We start from the raw sequence: 18,749 nt of genomic DNA, 5'->3' as shown, positions 1-18,749 counted from the left end.
CCTCCTGCTTTTAGCCTAATGGGTATTTTAGTGAGCTCTCTTTACTACCTGACTGGTCAGGTGTGAGCTGAGTAACAAGCCCCGTATTTAAAGGTGGGTGCAGTCCCCTTCCCCAGCTAGGCTTAGGAATTCTTAGTCGGCCTAGGAAATCCAGCTAGTCCTGTCTCTCAATAGTCCATTTGGGTTGCTATAACAAAATACCATCGACTAGATGGCTTATAAATAACATAAATTTATTTCTCACATTTCTGGAGACTGGGTAGTCCAAGAAGAAGGCACTGGCATATTCAGTGCCTGGTGAAGGCCCATTTCCTGGTTGATAGTCCTCACATGGTGGAAGGGGCCAGGCAGCTCTCTGGGCCTCTGTTATAAGAACACTAATCCCATTAGTGAGGGCTCCACCCTCATGGCCTAATCACCTCCCAAAGGCCCCACCTCCTAATACCATCACATTGGTGATTAGGTTTCAACATATGAATTCTGGGGGGACACAAACATTCAGATCACAGCAATGCCTGTTTTACAGATGAGGGGATGGAGACTCAGAGTTCTCAAGTTACCTACTCAGAGTCACAGGGCTAATAGCAGCAGCGCCAGGAGCCATCCACTGGTCCTCTGATTTTATCTTTTCAAGATGCCTTTTCGTTTCTAACTCCTGACTGAAAGGGGAGAGGCATTTCCAGGTTTGGAGAATTTCCTAAACTCAGAAAAGATGTTCTAAAAAGAAATTGTGTGCCTCAGCACTTCTCCTGAGAAATCACTGTTACAAAAAGTGGGTCCAGGATGGGGGGAGGCTGGGTAGGATGAGGCATCAAAGGGATTTGAGAATGTGAGCTCTACTGGGAAGTGGCTGGGTGGGAGGGGATGTTATAAATAAAGTTTTGATGCCACAAAAGAAATTGTACTTGAATACAAAATTCTCTTTTTAATTCTCAGCAAGGCAAGTTACTTCTATAGAAGGATGCACCCTTACAGATGGAGCAATGGTGAGTGCACACTTGGACAAGGGAGGGGAAGGGGTTCTTATCCCTGACACACGTGGCCCCTGCTGCTGTGTCGTTCCCCTACTGGTTAGGGTTAGACTGCACAGGCTAAAATAATTCTGATTGGCTAATTTAAAGAGAGTGACAGGGTGAGTGGTTTGGCAGGAAAAATGGTTATGACAGAGCAGGTAATCGGAATGAGTCAGGTGGAGCAGGTAATCAGAATGAGTCAGGTGGAGCAGGTAATCGGAATGAGTCAGGGTGGAGCAGGTAATCGGAATGAGTCAGGTGGAGCAGGTAATCAGAATGAGTCAGGGTGGAGCAGGTAATCGAAAAAGGTTGCTTTATGAGGAAGTTAAGTTTAAAAGTAGAAGGCAAAGAATTGAACATACTGACATATTGATTCTTTGAAAAGAAACTTAGAACTCATATCTAACAGGGAGAAAGATGGGGCACACAATGGCACATACTGCAGACCGGGCTGCTTCCTCCCAAGGCCCTGGGGAGCCCTCTTGAGGACTTGAGGTTTTAGAAAAGGGCATTGTCAGGAGCTGGCAGCCACCTGTGAATTGGTGGTAATGAATGTACTAACACTGTTACCTGTTAGGAAGAGTAAGAAACACAGTCAGAAGATGCTTGGGAGGACCTTGGAGGAGAGGCAAGTTCTGGGAATTTCTGTGGGTAGGCTTTAGGGGATTTTGTAGCATTTGGGAAAGTGTTTTGAGCCAAAGCAGAAGACCAGCCTGTGGCCTTGGCTTTACAAAGTATTTGTCAGGGCTGAGGTCTAACAGAGTGATGGCCTGACCTAAGCTGGAGGACAGACAGCTGAAGGTCAGTGATCAGAAGGCTCTACACAGCAGAGAGAGACCAAGAGTTTAATCTTGCACCAAGCTAATTGAGCTACTGAGAGCGTGTTTCTGTGATTTATAAACCTATCTGTCCTTTGTGTGCCAAGATATTACTTCTCAGTGTCATAAAAATTGGCATATAAAAATATCTGTCTTCCTTTCCCAGGTTAACCTTCTCCAGGATCCTGTAATTATCTCACTCCATCCTCTCCCTGTCCCCTTTGTGTTTTGTAGTGATGACTCACTCATTGCAGTTTGCCTGGGACTTTACTGGTCTAAGTGTTACAGGAAAGGGTTTCCCATCCAGAACCCAAGAGAGGGTTCTTGGATCTCATGCAAGAAAGAACTCAGGGCAAGTCTTCAGTGCAAAGTGAAAGCGAGTTTATTAAGAAAGTAAAGGAATAAAAGAATGGCTACTCCATAGACAGAGCAGGCCCTAGGGCTGCTGGTTGCTCATTTTTACAGTTATTTTTTGATAATATGCTAAACAACGGGTGAATTATTCATGCTTCCCATTTTTAGAACATATAGGGCAACTTACTGATGTTGCCATGGCATTTGTAAACTGTCATGATACTGGTGGGAGTGTAGCAGTGAAGACAACCAGAGGTCACTCTCGTCGCCATCTTGGTTTTGGTGGGTTTTGACTGGCTCCTTTATTGCAAGCTGTTTTATCAGCAAGGTCTTTATGACCTGTATTTTGTGCTGACCTCCTATCTCATCCTGTGACTTAGAATGCCTTAACTGTCTGGGAATGTAGCCCAGTAGGTTTCAGCCTGATTTTACCCAGCTCCTATTTAACATGGAGTTGCTCTGGTTCACACGCCTCTGACATAAGCACTGAAAGTCCCATGACCCAGGAAACCCCCAATATGGGCATTAGGACAGTTGGTCACCGTAAAGGTCTTTTCCTCCACCGACTCCTTCTTAACCTGTGAACATTCCCATGTCACCTCTTTGTTAACCAATTCTGCTTCCCTTGAGCTCCTATTAATTCTTTTTCATCTATGGACTCCTAAACTTCTTCCAAGTGTAGTCCATGCTCTCACTATGTCCCTCACCTTCTAGAGGACTCCTAAACTTTCTCCTACCAAACTTCACTTGCCCTCCCTCTTGATAATGTTTCCATTGCATTTAGCACTACTGGGTTCTGGGACCATATTTTCTCCTTCCATCTCTAAAGCTGCTATTTCTCTGTCTCAGATCTAGGAAGTAAACCCTGCCTCTGCTGTCTCTGTCCATTTGGGACACCCCTCAGGGCCCAGGTCTTAGGTCTGTGCTTTCACTGATTTTTCCTGTAGGAAAAGCCTACAAGAGTCAGGTGGGCAATGCAACCTCTTAGGAAGCTAGAATGGAGATGGAGTGAACCAGACAGTATGTGCTCCATCTAAAGAGGTTTTACTTTAACAGGTTTTTAAAAGAGTGGGCCACCCTTGGTTTGAGTGCACAACTTTTGAGGTATAGCTGCAATCAGAAGTAAATTTTCAGGAGGATACGTGATCTAACCTGGGAAAGGAGTATTTCCACTGAAGGGCACAGTGGTAAATCTGGCTATACCTTACGCAAGAATTCATTACTCAGCTTTTGGAAATATCCCATTTTTGACTTGGGAGAAGTGTTCTTGGCCTTACATTGGGTTGAGAAGGCTCTTATCCTCACCTGACTTTGTGCCACCTTTATCCCCCAGTAGGTGATCAACAAGTTCCTAATCACACAGGTCATCACAGAGCAGTTATGACCTTGATGGGAACAGATAAGAACCAACTAGTGAAGTCCTGGGAACATCGTTAATGTGGGAAAAAAAATCTTCTAGCTGATAAAAATCTTTTCACTCATCACAGATTCATTCATCTTTCCATTGCAATTAAGGGGCAGCGTGTGGCATGATAGTGAGCCCGTGATGATAAGCAACTAATGAACAGATAGATCACATGAATTTCAGACACGAACAAGGTCAACAGCTTGAATATTTAAGCTGTTTTTAGTATTCAGTGTCACATGTCTAGAAAGGACTGTGAAGAATAATTTGTTTATTCTTCTGGTCTCTAGTGGAGCTGCATGTAAATAATCTCGTATTTTACATATTCCAAATTTTTATTATTTCCTTAAAGATTTTGTGTCCTTGGCTCCTTTATTAAAACAAATTTCTTGGGTGGATCACCTGAGGTCGGGAGTTCGAGACCAGCCTGACCAACATGGAGAAACCCTGTCTCTACTAAAAATACAAAAATAGCTGGGCGTGGTGGCGCATGCCTGTAATCCCAGCTACTTGGGAGGCCGAGGCAGGAGAATCACTTGAACCTGGGAGGCAGAGGTTGTGGTGAGCCAAGATCGCGCCATTGCACTCCAGCCTGGCAACAAGAGTGAGACTCTGTCTCAAAAATCAAAAACAAAAACAAACAAAAAAAATTTCTTCCTTCCCTTTTTTAGCATTTTTTTGGATGAATGTTTTATAGGCTTTAGAGTTGAATATAAAGTCAGTAAAACATACGTCTCTATCCTTAAAAAGTCTTTATTAGAGATGAAAGAACAAGATATACACAAGAGCAATGACTCTTGCAAAGACTTCTTATTGCTAATCCTAGATCTGCCATTTATTGGATGGCAACCTTGGGCAAGTAACTTCATCTCTTGCACCTCATCTCAGCTTTACCCTTTAAGTTTCTTTTCTGTAAAATGGGAGTTATGATAATCGTGCTGACTTTAGAGGGTTGTTCTGGTGTCCAGATGAAATGCATGTGAAGGACTTCACCTGGTATATATTAAGTACTTAACACATGTTAGCAATCATTAGTAACTTTAATACTCATACAAGTTCTGGTAATATTACCTTTATTTTATAGGTTAAAAAAATACCTGATATTTAATCAACCAAGGCTACTACATGGTTTATTTGGGCTTCCAAATTAGGCCTACTGACTTTATAAAATAAGCATTTTCTTCTGGATGATTCTACCTCCCCGACACAAGAGGTTTCTCACTGGTGATGGTGTTTTCTCCATTGTCAAGCCCCCTCTATGGCTGGTGCTTCATACCTGGGGCCCTGACACTTTGCCTCTCTTCATGCCCACTGACTGGGCCACTTCAAATTTCCACTCCCCTGGGCTCTTGAACTTGCGACTGCTTGGCCTGGTTTTTATACCCACATTGTTAGCACTGACTGATGTTAAGGTTCTCCACAGGTCTGACTGATCTAAGCAATCCCATATTCATTCATTCATTCATTCATCCATCCAATAAATATTTATGTTAACTCATTGTTAACTTGCAGGGCCTCACACTGTTACCCAGGCTGGAGTGCAATGGCATGACCACAGCACACTGTAACCTCAGACTTCTGGGCTCAAAAAATCTCTCATCTCACCCTCCCGTGTAGCTGGAACTGGCCTCAAACAATCCTCTCACCTCACTCTCCCGTGTAGCTGGAACATGTTGCAAGAAACCTCTCGAATTGATGGTGTAATGTTGTCCCAGTAATACCAAGAGTTCAGGAAAGCAAAATAGAAGGCTTCAGTATTCAAGGAGGTACATTTCACCATGCTCTGGAGTAAGTGATGGTAACAGAAGTTGAGGTTTTGTGAGGTCTCTGGGTGTCCGTTAAGCATAGGGGAGCTCCAAATGAACTGTTGACATCAGGCACACTTTTGCCTTTCAAGGGTTGTCCTTGTCGCCATTTGCATGACTCAACTTCAGCAGGCAGAGGGGGCAGAAGTTTGGCGTGTTGGGAAGGTTTGAGGACTCTCCCGTGGCTGCAAGGCCAAATCTCAGACTCACCAGCTCTGGTGTGTGACCGGCACAGCCGGGCAAGGCTGGAGGCTTTGTAGGTTGCTGCCCTTAGGACCCCACTTGCTGGGCCTGTGCTGACACGTCCAGCGCCAAACACCAGCAGATCGCCTATGATTAGCCTAGGCAGTTGGGAGGAAATGACAGGACTAGGAAACATAAGGCTGCCCTCTGTTAGCTTACAGCCTTGTTGGCAGACAAAAGACACTTGAACCCTTAATAAGTGCTCAGTTGCATGTTATTTGGTGTTGCATTTGTGGGTACCATCAAGTTCAGGAAAGGGAGAGGTCACTGTGGACTTGTGACAGGGCTGAAAAGAGGGGAATGTGCTACCAATCAGAGTGGGCTTGTGTCCTACCTGCCTTCTGCTGGAGGTTTTTGGCAGGCAACATCAGGAGGAAAGGGGATAGTGCCATGCCTTTGCCCAAGTGCTGCAAAGGGGTGAAAGGGAGGAAGGCAATTGTAATGTATTGAGCACCTTGTCTGTGCTAGGTCCATTACAGACATTGTTTCACTTTATTCTCATGAGAACCCTGTGACAGTGGCTTCAATTTCCTGTATTTTACAGATGTGGTTCAAAGAAGGGTTCAATAACCTGCCCAGGTGATAAGCTGCAGAGGCACTGGTAATGGGCTTGGTGGCCTTGAGAGAGGACTGTTTAATAATATGCAAACATTGTCCAGAATCTTTGAATTGCTCAAGCAGAGGCACTTTTCAATGTCTTCTTTCCAAAACTGGAATTGCTTAATAGAAACAGGATAGGAAGGTTGTGGTAAGGTATGGTTTGCAAAGTCGTTCTCAGGTGCTCTTTAAAACTGTTGCACTGCTAAAGAAATGGAACAAAAACAGTTATCACATAAGCAAGCACACACACAAATGCACAGAGTTTCTCTCTCTCTCTTTTCACACACACACAAACACACACACACACACACACACACACACACACACACGCTTGTGGATGCTGAAGCCCTGTAGACACTGCAGTGTTCCCAATACTTTGGCCAAAAAAAAGCTGGATTAGGGCCAGAAAGTACAATAACTGAAATAACTTCATATGAAACCATTGCAGGCAGCGGGAAGAGTCAGAGGAAGGGCACTGGGAGATTATTTTGCTTTTTATCCTTGCTTAATTAATGCTCACAGTGATGGGAGGGTGCACTGAAACTGATCATCTTTCCCCCATCACAAATATGCCCTTTTTATCTAAAAAAAAATGACTGTGGTTTGGGCCACATGAATGATACATTCGGCTTTCAAAGGATATTTCATTTTTGCATTGGAAGAAAATTAAGGTGTTCATTAAAAAAACAAAAACAACAACAAAAAACTTATCTAAAGAGTTGCATTTCCTGAGCTTCGAAGAAAAAAATATCTTTCCCTTCTCGTGACTTATCTCCCTTTCTTTCCACAATAAGTCATCCTGGGTTATTTTTTTCCATACATGGATTGAATGAGACCAACAACAAAAGGAAATGATAGGACATGATGATCTCAAAGCTTAGCCATGATGGAAGGTAGTTCTGAACAAGAGAACCGATGTGGGTTGCAGAGAAGGGGCTCACAGGAAAGGAAACCAAGGGCTCCCCAGATGAGCAGATAATTAATAAAATAATCAGGCCCCAAACCCCAGCTCAAAACATGAAACTCTCACCATGATATCCAGCAGTCATTGATTTTATTATTTTTTAATTTTATTTTGATGGGAAAGAAGGAGCCAGAGTGCCCAACTCCAGTGACCCAGAGCTCATGCCAGACAGTATTTCCTTTACTGCTACATATAGACATTGAAGTCCACCTGTACAGACAGAAAGGACCATGATTTCTTTCTTTTTTTAATTAATAAACATAATTTAAAAAAAAAATTTTTTTTTTTGAGACTGAGTCTTGCTGTTGTCGGCCCAGGCTGGAGTGCAATGGCACGATTTCAGCTCACTGCAACCTCTGCCTCCTAAGTTCCAGCAATTCTCCTGCCCCAGCCTCCCAAGTAGCTGAGATTACAGGCACCTGCCACCATGCCCTGCTGATTTTTGTACTTTTAGTAGTGGCGGGGTTTCACCATGTTGGCCAGGCTGGTCTGGAACTCTTGACCTCAGGTGATCCCCCTGCCTCAGCCTCCCAAAGTGCTGGGATTACAGGCGTGAGCCACCACACCTGGCCAACAAACATTACTTTTTAAAGCAATTTTAGGTTCACAGCAAAGTTGAACAGAAAGTACAGTGAGTTCCCATATATCCCTTGTACCCCACCCCACACAACTTTCCTCATTATCAACATCCCGCTCCAGAAAGCACATTTGTTGCAATAGAATCTACACTAACACATCACTGTCACCCAAAGCCACAGTTTACCCTAGGGTTCACTCTTAGTGTTGTACATTCTGTGGGTTTTGACAAATATATAATGACTAACTGCTTTTCAGATGCAATTCTTTGTGCATGTTTCAAAGGCATAATATTATAACGACTAGACAGTCATTGCTGGAAGATACTGCATCCAGAAGTAATTGGTCTGGACATGTGAGTGGCCAAGGACCGTCACAAGGAGACAGAACTTCATCAACTTCATCAGTGACTGTCTGAGATTTGGGGGGACATGATGATTTCCTGGGTCGTGTTCGGCCCCCAGATCCTGAGGTCTTGTAGCCTAGCCGTACACAATCAGGAACAGATTTCCAAAGGCATATTCTGTGAGGGGTGTTGCTTACAAACTCCAACCGCTAGGATCCTCACCACGAAGACCAGTTGGAATTCACTATGGCCAGGTTGTTATTCATTTAAAAGTATCTGCAGAGAATTCTTTTTCTCAAGACCTTTCAAAGATGGTAAAGTGATTGAGGATATGGAATAAGATCTTTGTGGTTTACTAAACTGTTAACTATTTATAGCATGTATTTATGTATATAATAAACTATATATAAGATACAATATGGGTTTGATATTAAATTTGACTCCTCTTCACTGAGGAACTGGTGAAACCTTAGTCTTGAGGTGAATGCGCCACAGTTCCCCGGGTATGTGCCAGGAAAGACACTGACAACTGGTCATGGAAACCGCACTGCTCTCCGACTCCTATCACCAGCAGTGTTCCAGGCCTGCTGCCAATCCATAGTCACTTTGATTTTGAAACCAGCTGTGGGTATCCTGACCCCCCTCAGGTCTTTTGTTGTCATCGTTCTTTGTCATCCACTGATCTTTTGTATCCTACAAGTCTGCAATTGAAACTGTCTCATCCTTGTCATTAGGGCTTTTAGATTGAATGTTAGAAAGTCTCAGTTTTTATATGCAGTTGTTCTAGGCTGCTGCTTAAGGGCAGTATCTTCATCAATTTCATTTCTAAGGAAGTGTCCCTCCCTTGAATGCTTGCTTTATGTAAAGCTGGGGCTGGAGCTGCACCTCAGGAAAGGATGCCTTCTCTCTCATCTGCCAACTTCTGTCTCTCTGAGCTGTGGCATGTCCTATAACAGGCGAGATTTGCCTTTTCTAAGAAAATAAGAAACTACAGGTGGAACAATCTGAGCAATGGTCTCATTCTGCACAGAATGAGCCCTGTGGTCCTTCTCATCATTCTGTAAGAATGACCCTCTGGCTGGAGCTGCCCAAGGGGTAACTTTGGGGCCACTTTCACAGGAGAAGTCCTGCACATTCCATGGCTCCATCTTCTCCCAGTGATTCAAAGTGGCCTGCCAAGGATCTGGTGCCATGTGGTACATATTTTCTGGCAAGACCACTGCACCTATTCACATGGTCAGCTAAGTAATCCCCAGCAGGCCATCCTCTGATTGGATTTGTCATCGAGCAATTGATTGTTCATTAATGCCAACAAGTATTTATTGAGCATAGACAGTGTTGCAGGTCATGTTCCCTGGGAAGCAGACTCTGAGATGGAGTTCATCATGCAAAACGTTTATTAGAGAGTGGCTTTGGCTTTACACTTGGGAAGGAAGAGAAGCAAGATTGGGCAGAGGGAGCAGTTGGGCTCTAATGCAATCACAAAGGCTCAGCTGACCCTATAAGGAGTTCTGAAGCTGGGATGTCCCTTCAGAACTGTTCCAGGTTGGGGCAAGGGGGCCAGACCTTCATATGCCCTCATTGATCAGTCATTGGGTACAGCTGCCCCTGGGAATGGGGTGTGACATAAGCAGTGAGGAGGCAGAACTCTGCAGGTGAGGGAAATTTCTGGAGACAGCTTGAAGTGGAGCAGCTGGATGAATAAGTCCTTTACCACTCAAAGGGGAGCTAGGGAAGTAGCAGGGTATGTATTGCTCTGTGCGAAGCATATTCTGTGCCCCTAAGAAGCTTATTATCTAGATAGGTGGAATTAAACAAGTGTGCAAGTGACAGTGTTATAAGGTGGCATCAGGCAGGTGGCACTTCCAAAGCTGTAGGGGTTTGCAGATGGCAGGGATGGTGGGAGTGGGGTGTCACATTTGCTTGGAGGAGATATTTGCACTGGGTCTTGGAGAATCCTAGCTTGAGGATTTTTGTCATTTTCTAGTCATTAGCCTGATTGAAATCCTTGGTGCATGAAGAGGACTTCTTTCACACAGACCACTAAACCAGGATTACAGACTAGACATTAAGTAAATCCCCAGGGCTGATAAATAACATCTGGCCAAGTGCTATAGCTCAGAGTTAGTTTTCTTGTTTTCTCTTCATCTCAAGAAGTTCCAGGAAATGTCGCTGAAGAGTTCAACGCTATCGTTATCTCAGGCCTCAATTCCTGTGGCTCTTGGATGCACCAGGGTATCAAGAGGATAAGCTGCAGCTGCTTGAGGCTGAAACAGTTACTCTGCGCAGGGCAAGAAGCACCAGCTGAGTTCTTTGCAGTGAGTTATATCTTTTCATTCCATTGCATATTCCTGAAGACTAGGCTTTTCTGGAATGAGGGGAATTGCCTTGTATGGCCAAGAAAGCTGTGGAGACATTTAGGAAGCAGAGATGATCTGGAGGGGAATTCCACATATAAGCAGGTGCCCACGTGGTGTCAGGTCCAGATACCTGCCTGACACTCCTCTCTTGCTGCTTTCCTTGCCAGACTAACAGGAACCCCTCTCACTGGGCTTAGGAGGCTCCTGTTAGACTCATATCCATGACCAGAGTCAGGGCTGCAGCATCTGACCCCATGGTCACACATACAGCCTCTTAGTTCTTCAGATCAGCCAGCTGTTCCATAGCAAAACTCAGCCCTGTAGGATGGAGCAGACATGGATGATGGGAATGGAGAGTGTGTGTGTGAGAGAGGGAGAGACAGAGACAGAGAGAGAGAGACTCTGTGTGTGTGTGTGTGTGTGTGTGTGTGTGTGTGTGTGTGTGTATGCATGCATGCACATGCACGTATGCATGTATTAGTGGCCTAGAGAGGACAGAATGCCCAGTCAGGAGAGGGGTGGTCCTCTGGCATCCTGAGCTGGGCCTGGATGGGCAGGAGAACAGGAGGGGGTGGCCTGTGAGAAAGGAAACCTGGACTGAAGTCAGATTTCACCAATGTTATGATGCCACTAAGCTTGAGATTCTTTCAAAGGTGAACCAAATCCTAGTTCTGCCCTGTGATGGGACTGAGATGCAGTAATGGGTCCCCTCCTTTCCATAATGATCTGGCATTTGCCACTGCCTTAGCTCCTTGTCTTCAAGGAGGTTTAAGAAATGCTATAAAAAAGCACTGGCTGTCAGAAAAGAAAACTTTACAACATAGTGTGATCCTGACACTTTGCAAATGAAGAGAAACATTTGCCATTAGAGTCAGGCGTTCAACACACTGGAGGATCTGCTGTCAGCCTTGGAGTTCTCAGGTGGTCTGCATCGTAACCAGACTGTCATGCCGCAATATACCCAAACCCACCCCAGTGAGTGCCCCTTGAGTGTCCACAGCCCCTTGTCAGCACCAGATCATGATGGCTGGGAAGGCAGGCAGGGACTTTGGGATATGCATTTACCTAGGAGGCAGTGGCCACAGTAGGCTAGGGCTGCAGGTTCCCCACAGGTCATCTCCAGGCCCCTGGGCACCTTTCAAGTATTCAACACTGTAAACATTGCTGCACTCAGATCCTTGGCAGGATCCCCCAACTCCACATCTCTTCTAGTCTCTTTTTCCTTTGTACTTTTACAGGGCTTGATTCTTTCCTTCCTTCCCATGTATAGGATTCTCACCTCTTCCCTGAAGCATGCCTCTTCTAGCACATTGGCAACAAAACTCTCTCATGTAGAGTGTTTACATTGTTGGTGAACTTTCCCATCTCCTTGTTGCCTCATATCTCCAAATGTCTGAAGTGACCCCACTTGGGGAAAGAATAAACAGAGGCACAAAGAGGCCCCATGGCTTGTTCTGTTGGAGGAACTCAGGTCACCAGATGCCCATGCACCTGCTCCCGCCAGACTCTCTCTGTGGAGTTGGTGTTTTTCTGTGCTGACCTGCCCTCAGGCCATGGCTGCCACCACTACACTTCAGTGATGCGCCCTGGGGTGGGGAAGGGTACCCTACACCTCATGAAATTCTAAGGGAAGGACATAGAACTGCTACTTCTGACATGTCCTTATTTTATAGCCTCAACTGTCTAACATGCACATATTCATCCCAATTAATTCTTAGGAAGGGATTCTTGCTTTGAAAATTCCCCCGCAGCATTCTTTCTGAGAAACGCTGTCATGTCCTCTCCTATCTTCAATTATCTTGCAAAAAACCACCTCTGTGTAGTGTCCCAACCTGACCCAAACACACATAGAGATGCACAAACACACACACACACACACCCTCCATGAAGCCTCTCCTGCTGCAGCCTAGGTCCCCTCTGTGCAATCTGTACATGGCAGCAGTGCTCAGGCACCATAGGTAGGTGGGCAAACACAAAGTGGCAGATGGTTGCTTACGGTGCTACCAGTGTTGCCATTGTTTCTCCAACCTCACAAACAAGACTTCCAGCTTCTTGAGCAAGTATAGGAAGCTGCAAAGCCAGAGAGCTGCTGTTACAGCTGTATAGCTGCTGGGTCCACCTCTGGCATGATCTACTACAGCACAGTCTCCCACAAGTATATCTGGTTGGCGGGACCTAAAATCACATCCTGAACCTGGCTGCAAGGGAGTCTGGGAATTGTAGTTTTACTCTTTCCAACCTGGATATCTCCCTGTGTAACCCTAGGCAGACAAATACCCAGTCAATCCCCAGTACCTACATTCCTGAAGAGAGAAGGCAAGTCCTGTTCTCATTTGACACTGTAAGTGGGAAGTTCTCTAACTTAAAAAGTCACACTGAAGGGTGGAGCTAGGATATGGCAGAATACAACTCAGACACTGAAGGGCTTTATGTGAATCACCCATCCCTTCAGCTTCCAGTGACCTCAGTTCTTTTTTTTTTTTTTTTTTCTTTGAGACGGAGTTTCACTCTATCGCCCAGGCTGGAGTGCAGTGATGTAATCTCGCCTCACTGCAGCCTCCGCCTCCCAGGTTCAAGCGATTATTCTGCCTCAGCCTCATGAGGAGCTGGGACTACAGGCACGCACCACCATGCTCGGCTAATTTTTGTATTTTTAGTAGAGATGGGGTTTCACCATATTGGCCAGGCTGGTCTTGAACTCCTGACCTCGTGATCCACCCACCTCGGCCTCCCAAAGTGCTGGGATTACAGGCATGAGCCACTGCACCTGGCCAACCTCAGTTCTTAGGAAGGCAGGAACTTGGTTTCCAAGAAACTTTCTTTGCTTTTCACTTGCTTCATGGGCTAAACTATTGACAGACTTACCAGGTCTCTGGTCATGATGGTATAGGCTATGTCAGGTAACAGCCCCATGACTATCCATGGTTTAACAGTAAAATGATGGAGTTTATGTCTTATTCATGGCATCTGTCCAGTGTAGGTCGGGAAGGGGTTTTAGCATGACCCAGGACTTAGGCTCCATTTTCACACTCACTCCCACACACATTCCTGGAGAGGCAGGAAAAGTAGAATGTGGCAAATTGTACATTTGTCTCTGCGAGGAAGAGACATGTTGCTTACACACCTACTTCATGAGCCAAAGCAAGTCACACAGCTCGCTTACTTCAAAGGGAGAAAACCAAAGTCCTCCCATTAACCCGGGGACAGGAGAACCGACCTGTGGTAAACAGCACTAATGAGGAGTCTGTGCCCGTGACGTGCCCCTAGTGTACTCATCACTCGGCCGGGATAACTGACATTCTTCCATCACCATTTTTCTTTCCCTCCAGGCACTTAACATTTCAACTTTAAAGATACTGATACAATTTTCACTTGAAAATGGCCTATGAAAAAACAGCACAGTCCCCAGAGGCAAAATTCTAATCATGCTTTTCCACAAATACTTCAGTGGTTCTCAGTCTGTCATGATTTAGTGGGCTGAGAATGCTCTGTGTTGTGTTTTATGTAAAAATTCTGCCTGTCTTCCTTAGATCAGGAAGGAAGAAAACAGGCCCAAGAGGTTGGCCCCAGACGGTTTCTCAGTTCCAGTGCCCATCCTGCTACAGGCTTTCTCTGACCACCTCCTCCCCAGTTTGAAGCCATTTCTGACTTTCTTGAGCATCCCCCTTTCATGTTCCCTCACCGTATTATCAGTGTTTGCATAAGTGCCTCATCCCCTCTACTAGGCTGTGAGCTCTTTGATCCATATAGAATTGTCTCTACACTCAGGTAGACTTTATATTGAGTGTTTTTGAATGACTCAAGGAATGAATCTCTATATTCTCCCTCAGGATGTTTTCTGTAAGAGGTGCTCAGCATCTTTTGAATATAAAAAAGATCGATGGATGAATGGATGGAGAAATTAAATAAAGGATTGAGGATGTATAGACTCCAGACAGCATCACATAGGAAGAATAAACAAGCCTATTCTCTTCAGGTCATTCAGCAGATTCTGATGAGTTAACTCATAAATACAGGTTTTGGAACCAAATGGAAGTGGGGATGACTCAGGGCAACCACTCATCACTCTGCAAACCAAGGCCCATGCCCTGCTATGGTTCAGTGGTGTCATCTGGAAATATTCATGTAAATGAGCACCCCAGTTTTCTAAGAGCTGTTTTTTTCTTCCTCTCTTCTTTTTTCCATTTCCTGGATTCCCAACTTCCTAGGTAGCCCTTTAGAAATGCAAATATAGGCCTGGCGCAGTGGCTCTCGCCTATGCCTGTAATCCCAGCACTTTGGGAGGCTGAGGTGGACAGATCACTTGAGGTCAGAAATTCAAGACCAGCCTGGCCAACATGGTGAAACCCTGTTTTCACTAAAAGTAAAAAAAAAAAAAAAAAATTAGCCAGGCGTGGTGGTGGAGTACCTGTAGTCCCAGCTACTTGGGAGGCTGAGGCACAAGAATGGCTTGAACCTGGGAGGCAGAGGTGGCAGTGAGCTGGGATCATGCCACTACACTCCAGCCTGTGCGACAGAGTGAGACTGTCTCAAAAAAAGGGAAATGCAAATATAAGCTTTCATCTCCCCTTCACTAGACATTCCCTACAGGGCAAGTTCATCTCTCTGCTCCAAAATAGTCCTCCAGAATTGACTGCCAATTTGCAGACCAAAACATGCCCTCCTTGAGCTTTCACCTCCAGGGGTTGCCTTGGAACTCCCACCCTCCAGGGGCTGCCTCAGGACTTTCATTCACTAGGAGGTTATATCTAAAGTATGCCTACTTGGCCACTTTTAAAATTTATTTTTGCCCAGGAAGGCCCGACTCAACTGTCCAGTAGATAAGGCACCATGCTATCAGGCGGACCCTTGCTCACTTGCTCCCTTACCTTATAAAAGTGCCTGCTTTCTGCTCCAAAGGGGAAGCGGCACATTGAAAGGCAGGACGTTGTGTGCCCCTCCTCCAAGCTAGCTTTGGAATACATTCACTTTATTGGTATCAGACTTTACTCTTGTCCGTGGGACTTTGCATACATTGAGCAACTAACCCGCATTTCAGTTACATTCATGTCACACTTTGGTCATGATTTAGCTCTTTGGTACCAGGGGCAAGCTTTGCTTGGTCAGTAGCATAGGGTGTTGCTGTGTTTATTGGATGGATTCCATGGCCCAGACTGAGTAATGTCGGGGCAAGGAACAACAGGACAAGTGCTCTAGAAATTCTTGTCTGTGGGGCTGACATGACATGTCTCTGCTTTCCCTATTAAATGTTTCCTGGGCTGAGGCATGAGATCTCCCAGGCCCCTGAAGCCTGGAAGGGGTCAGAAAGCCAAGGCAGCAAGGCTAGAGGGCACTGCCAGGGAAAGTGACCCACATCTGTCCCCTCAAACATCAGTTCCTCTTTCCAGGGAGATGGGAGCTGTGCAAACATGGAATTCCCACACCTCACAGGTCTCTCCTGGGTGGAGACTTCAAGATGGAGAGAGGGAAGAGAGGCAGCATATGTAGAAGGGCAGGAAAGTGGCATGTGTGTCCAGTGGCAGTGAAGAAAGGGGATAACAGACATCTCCCTTTCCTATAAAATAAAAAGACAGGAACTTCACCTACCTCTGCTATTTCCTTCCCATTTCTCCTTCAGCTTGAAGAAAGGTGTGGAGTTGAGAAATGGTCCCTAACCTGCACTCGGCACTCAAGGGTTTTCTCCAGAGCAGGTGAGACCTCTTTGCCTGGCCTTTGTCTGCCCTTCATTTCATGTGAAAGAGAAATGTGTATTTGCAGAAGGAAGCCCAGGGGCTTAGGGAACATCTTCACTCCAGAGGAGCAGGGAGCGGTGGCTCCACCAGCTGTGCCTGGGTTGGTCACTGAGCCTAGACAAACTCCAGCCCACTGGGAAGCTGGTTGTGGATGCTGGCCATTGGGTGGCCCCAGTGAGCCCTTTCCAGCCAAAGATTTCACCAGGAACTCCAAGTAAGAACCCAGCCCTTCTCCCTCAGCCTCCATTGAATGATGCTCTGTGGCCAGGCAGGTACCAAAGAATAAATGTACTGTATTAACATGAAGACTAATGACAAATGCACTGCAGTAGTAAGCACGTCATAGATGCATAGAATATTCTCTATATAGTCTGAATATGGATATAAAATAAGTTATACTCATTTTGTTTTCCATCACAGTAGGAGCATAGCATACAAAGTGATTGGTTCAGTGGCCATGAAGCAAGCCAGGGGAGAGACCACAGAAGAGAATGTAGGGCATTGAGTACAGTGGGGATTTGCCAAGGACACTGCAGAGTCCCTGGGGACCCTCTGGGGAACAAGGCCCCAAACCTCTCAAGTTAGCCTTCTGAGAATAGTATGAGGTCCCACTTGACAAGAGACAGTGGCTGCATCTGAGCTGGGATGATTCAGGCAACTGGGTGGGAGGCAGAGCAGGGACAGGCACGAACAGCATCCAGCAGGCTAGCCCACTCTCCTGCTGGTGCTGTTGGATGTCTATGATGCTGGGAATATGGGGCGCAGAGCCAGAAGGCACGGTTTGCTTCTGTGACGTGACAGATGGCCAGACTGATGGGCCACCAAATGCTGGCCGGCCCTCCTCCCTTGCCAGCCTGTCCTGGGAGGCTGCAGGGGGCCTGCATACTTTGCTTGTTCTCCATAGTTTGTCATTGGGTATCAATGCTGGGATCCTGCATACATCATAGCACAGACAAGTGTGTGAGGGTCTGAGGCCCTGGCTTTGAATCCTCTCTCCATCACGTGACTTCTGTGAGTTTCAGAAGGTCGCCTAAACCCTTCTGAGGCTACTCAGCCTCCTCAACTGCAAAATGGGAAGGCTAATGCATACTTCCCTGGGGCATCAGTGAGGGCCACATAGAATAATGTATATAAAGTGCCTAACACAGCTCCTGGTACGCAGGAGGGGCTGGGTAAATGTGAGTCAAGTATGAACATCTAAACATCATAGGCCAGGTGGAAAGAACATCTAACAAAATCTATGAACTAAAACCACCTTGACTGGTTTTCAATAGACTACAGGACAATTTCCTCACTCTTATCAATTTTTTTCTCTTCTCTCTCCCGCTCTGGGATTCTTTAAAATGAAATACTGGCAGAGTTCAAAGCAAGGTTTGCCGAAGAAGACAGAGGCTTAGATTAGGAAAGAACAGAGCTCCTGGGCCAATGTCTCTAGAAGACGCTTCCTTTCTCACCTCTCCTCCCTGCAGCTGCCCGCCTGCCCTCAGATCTCCTAGCTCTTGAATGGATTTCTTATTAGGAAGCCAAAGCAGATAGGGGAAGCACAGAAAAAGAAGTGAATTGTCTACTAAATGAAAAGTCTTTTCCATTTGCTCAGAGCCCGGGTGTGGAAGCACTGGGGAATCTGGAGGTGGGTTGGCCATCTGTGCTGGCAAGTGAATTGCCTCAGGTCTGGTATCTGGGGAGTGGCCGAGGAGAGGGGAAGAGCGATAGAGACTTAGGCTTAGACTCTGGGGCCTGGGAGTGCTCTTGTCCTTCTAATCCCGAGAACTTGGAGGTGTGCCCAAACAAGTATCAGCTGCAAACATGGGCGTCATGGTCCTCTCTCACCTACAGAGCAATGTCAAGATATGCATATGTGTGTGTGCATGTTTGTGTGTGTGTGTGTGTGTGTGTGTGTGTGTGTAGTCACCGCTCCCATCTCCTCCTCTAACACTGCCCGTCTGAATGTCCCCCCACCCCATCACTCGGCAACTTTCCTCTTGGACGGGGGCAGGAGGTGGGCAGGCAGCTCGTTGGGCAGCTCGTGCCCCTCCAGCTTGACTTTGATGAGGTGGTTGGCCAGTGCAAACTCGTCGTCGTCCAGCATGCCATCCTTGTCAATGTCGGCCAGCTTCCAGATCTTGCCCAGCACACTGTTGGGCAGCTTGGAGCGCACCATCTCCTTCTTGGCATTAGCGCCTGTGATCTTGCCATCCACCGGTGACAGGGTGTAGAAGATCTCGTCGTACATGGGCTTGTCCCTGGCCACCACCCACTCAGCATCATCGATACCTTCTCCAGCCCCCTCCCCATAGCCATGCCCAAAGGGGCCGTGCAGGGTGCCCTCGAACGCTCCGCCCTTCACCATCTGGATGGGCCGCTGTGACTCCTCCTGGCGCACTAGCACCATGAGCTGGGCAATGTCATGGGCCAGCATGTCGTCCACTACCTCCAGCAGCTTGCTCTTCAGCGGCTGGAACTTGCTAAAGTCCTGGGCCTGCAGCTGGTCCTGGGAAGAGGAGGAGAGAGGATGAAGATAGGATACGATGAA

The 18,749-nt window shown here is 46.3% G+C and overlaps 1 protein-coding gene across 2 annotated transcripts in view; it reads right to left on the bottom strand.

Moving 5' to 3' along the window:
* Window positions 1-15,432: 15,432 nt before the first annotated feature.
* Window positions 15,433-18,749, bottom strand: part of EHD3 (EH domain containing 3) — a 35,300-nt gene continuing 31,983 nt past the window's right edge. For both annotated transcript variants that reach the window (NM_014600.3, XM_011532806.3), the window contains one exon: window positions 15,433-18,707. In NM_014600.3, coding sequence (NP_055415.1) covers window positions 18,180-18,707 — 528 coding nt within the window. In that variant the 3' untranslated portion in view covers window positions 15,433-18,179. The remainder of the gene's footprint in view (window positions 18,708-18,749) is intronic.

Source organism: Homo sapiens, chromosome 2 (assembly GCF_000001405.40).
Source record: "Homo sapiens chromosome 2, GRCh38.p14 Primary Assembly".
Taxonomy (NCBI): domain Eukaryota; kingdom Metazoa; phylum Chordata; class Mammalia; order Primates; family Hominidae; genus Homo; species Homo sapiens.
This window is presented reverse-complemented; position numbering and strand designations above follow the sequence as displayed.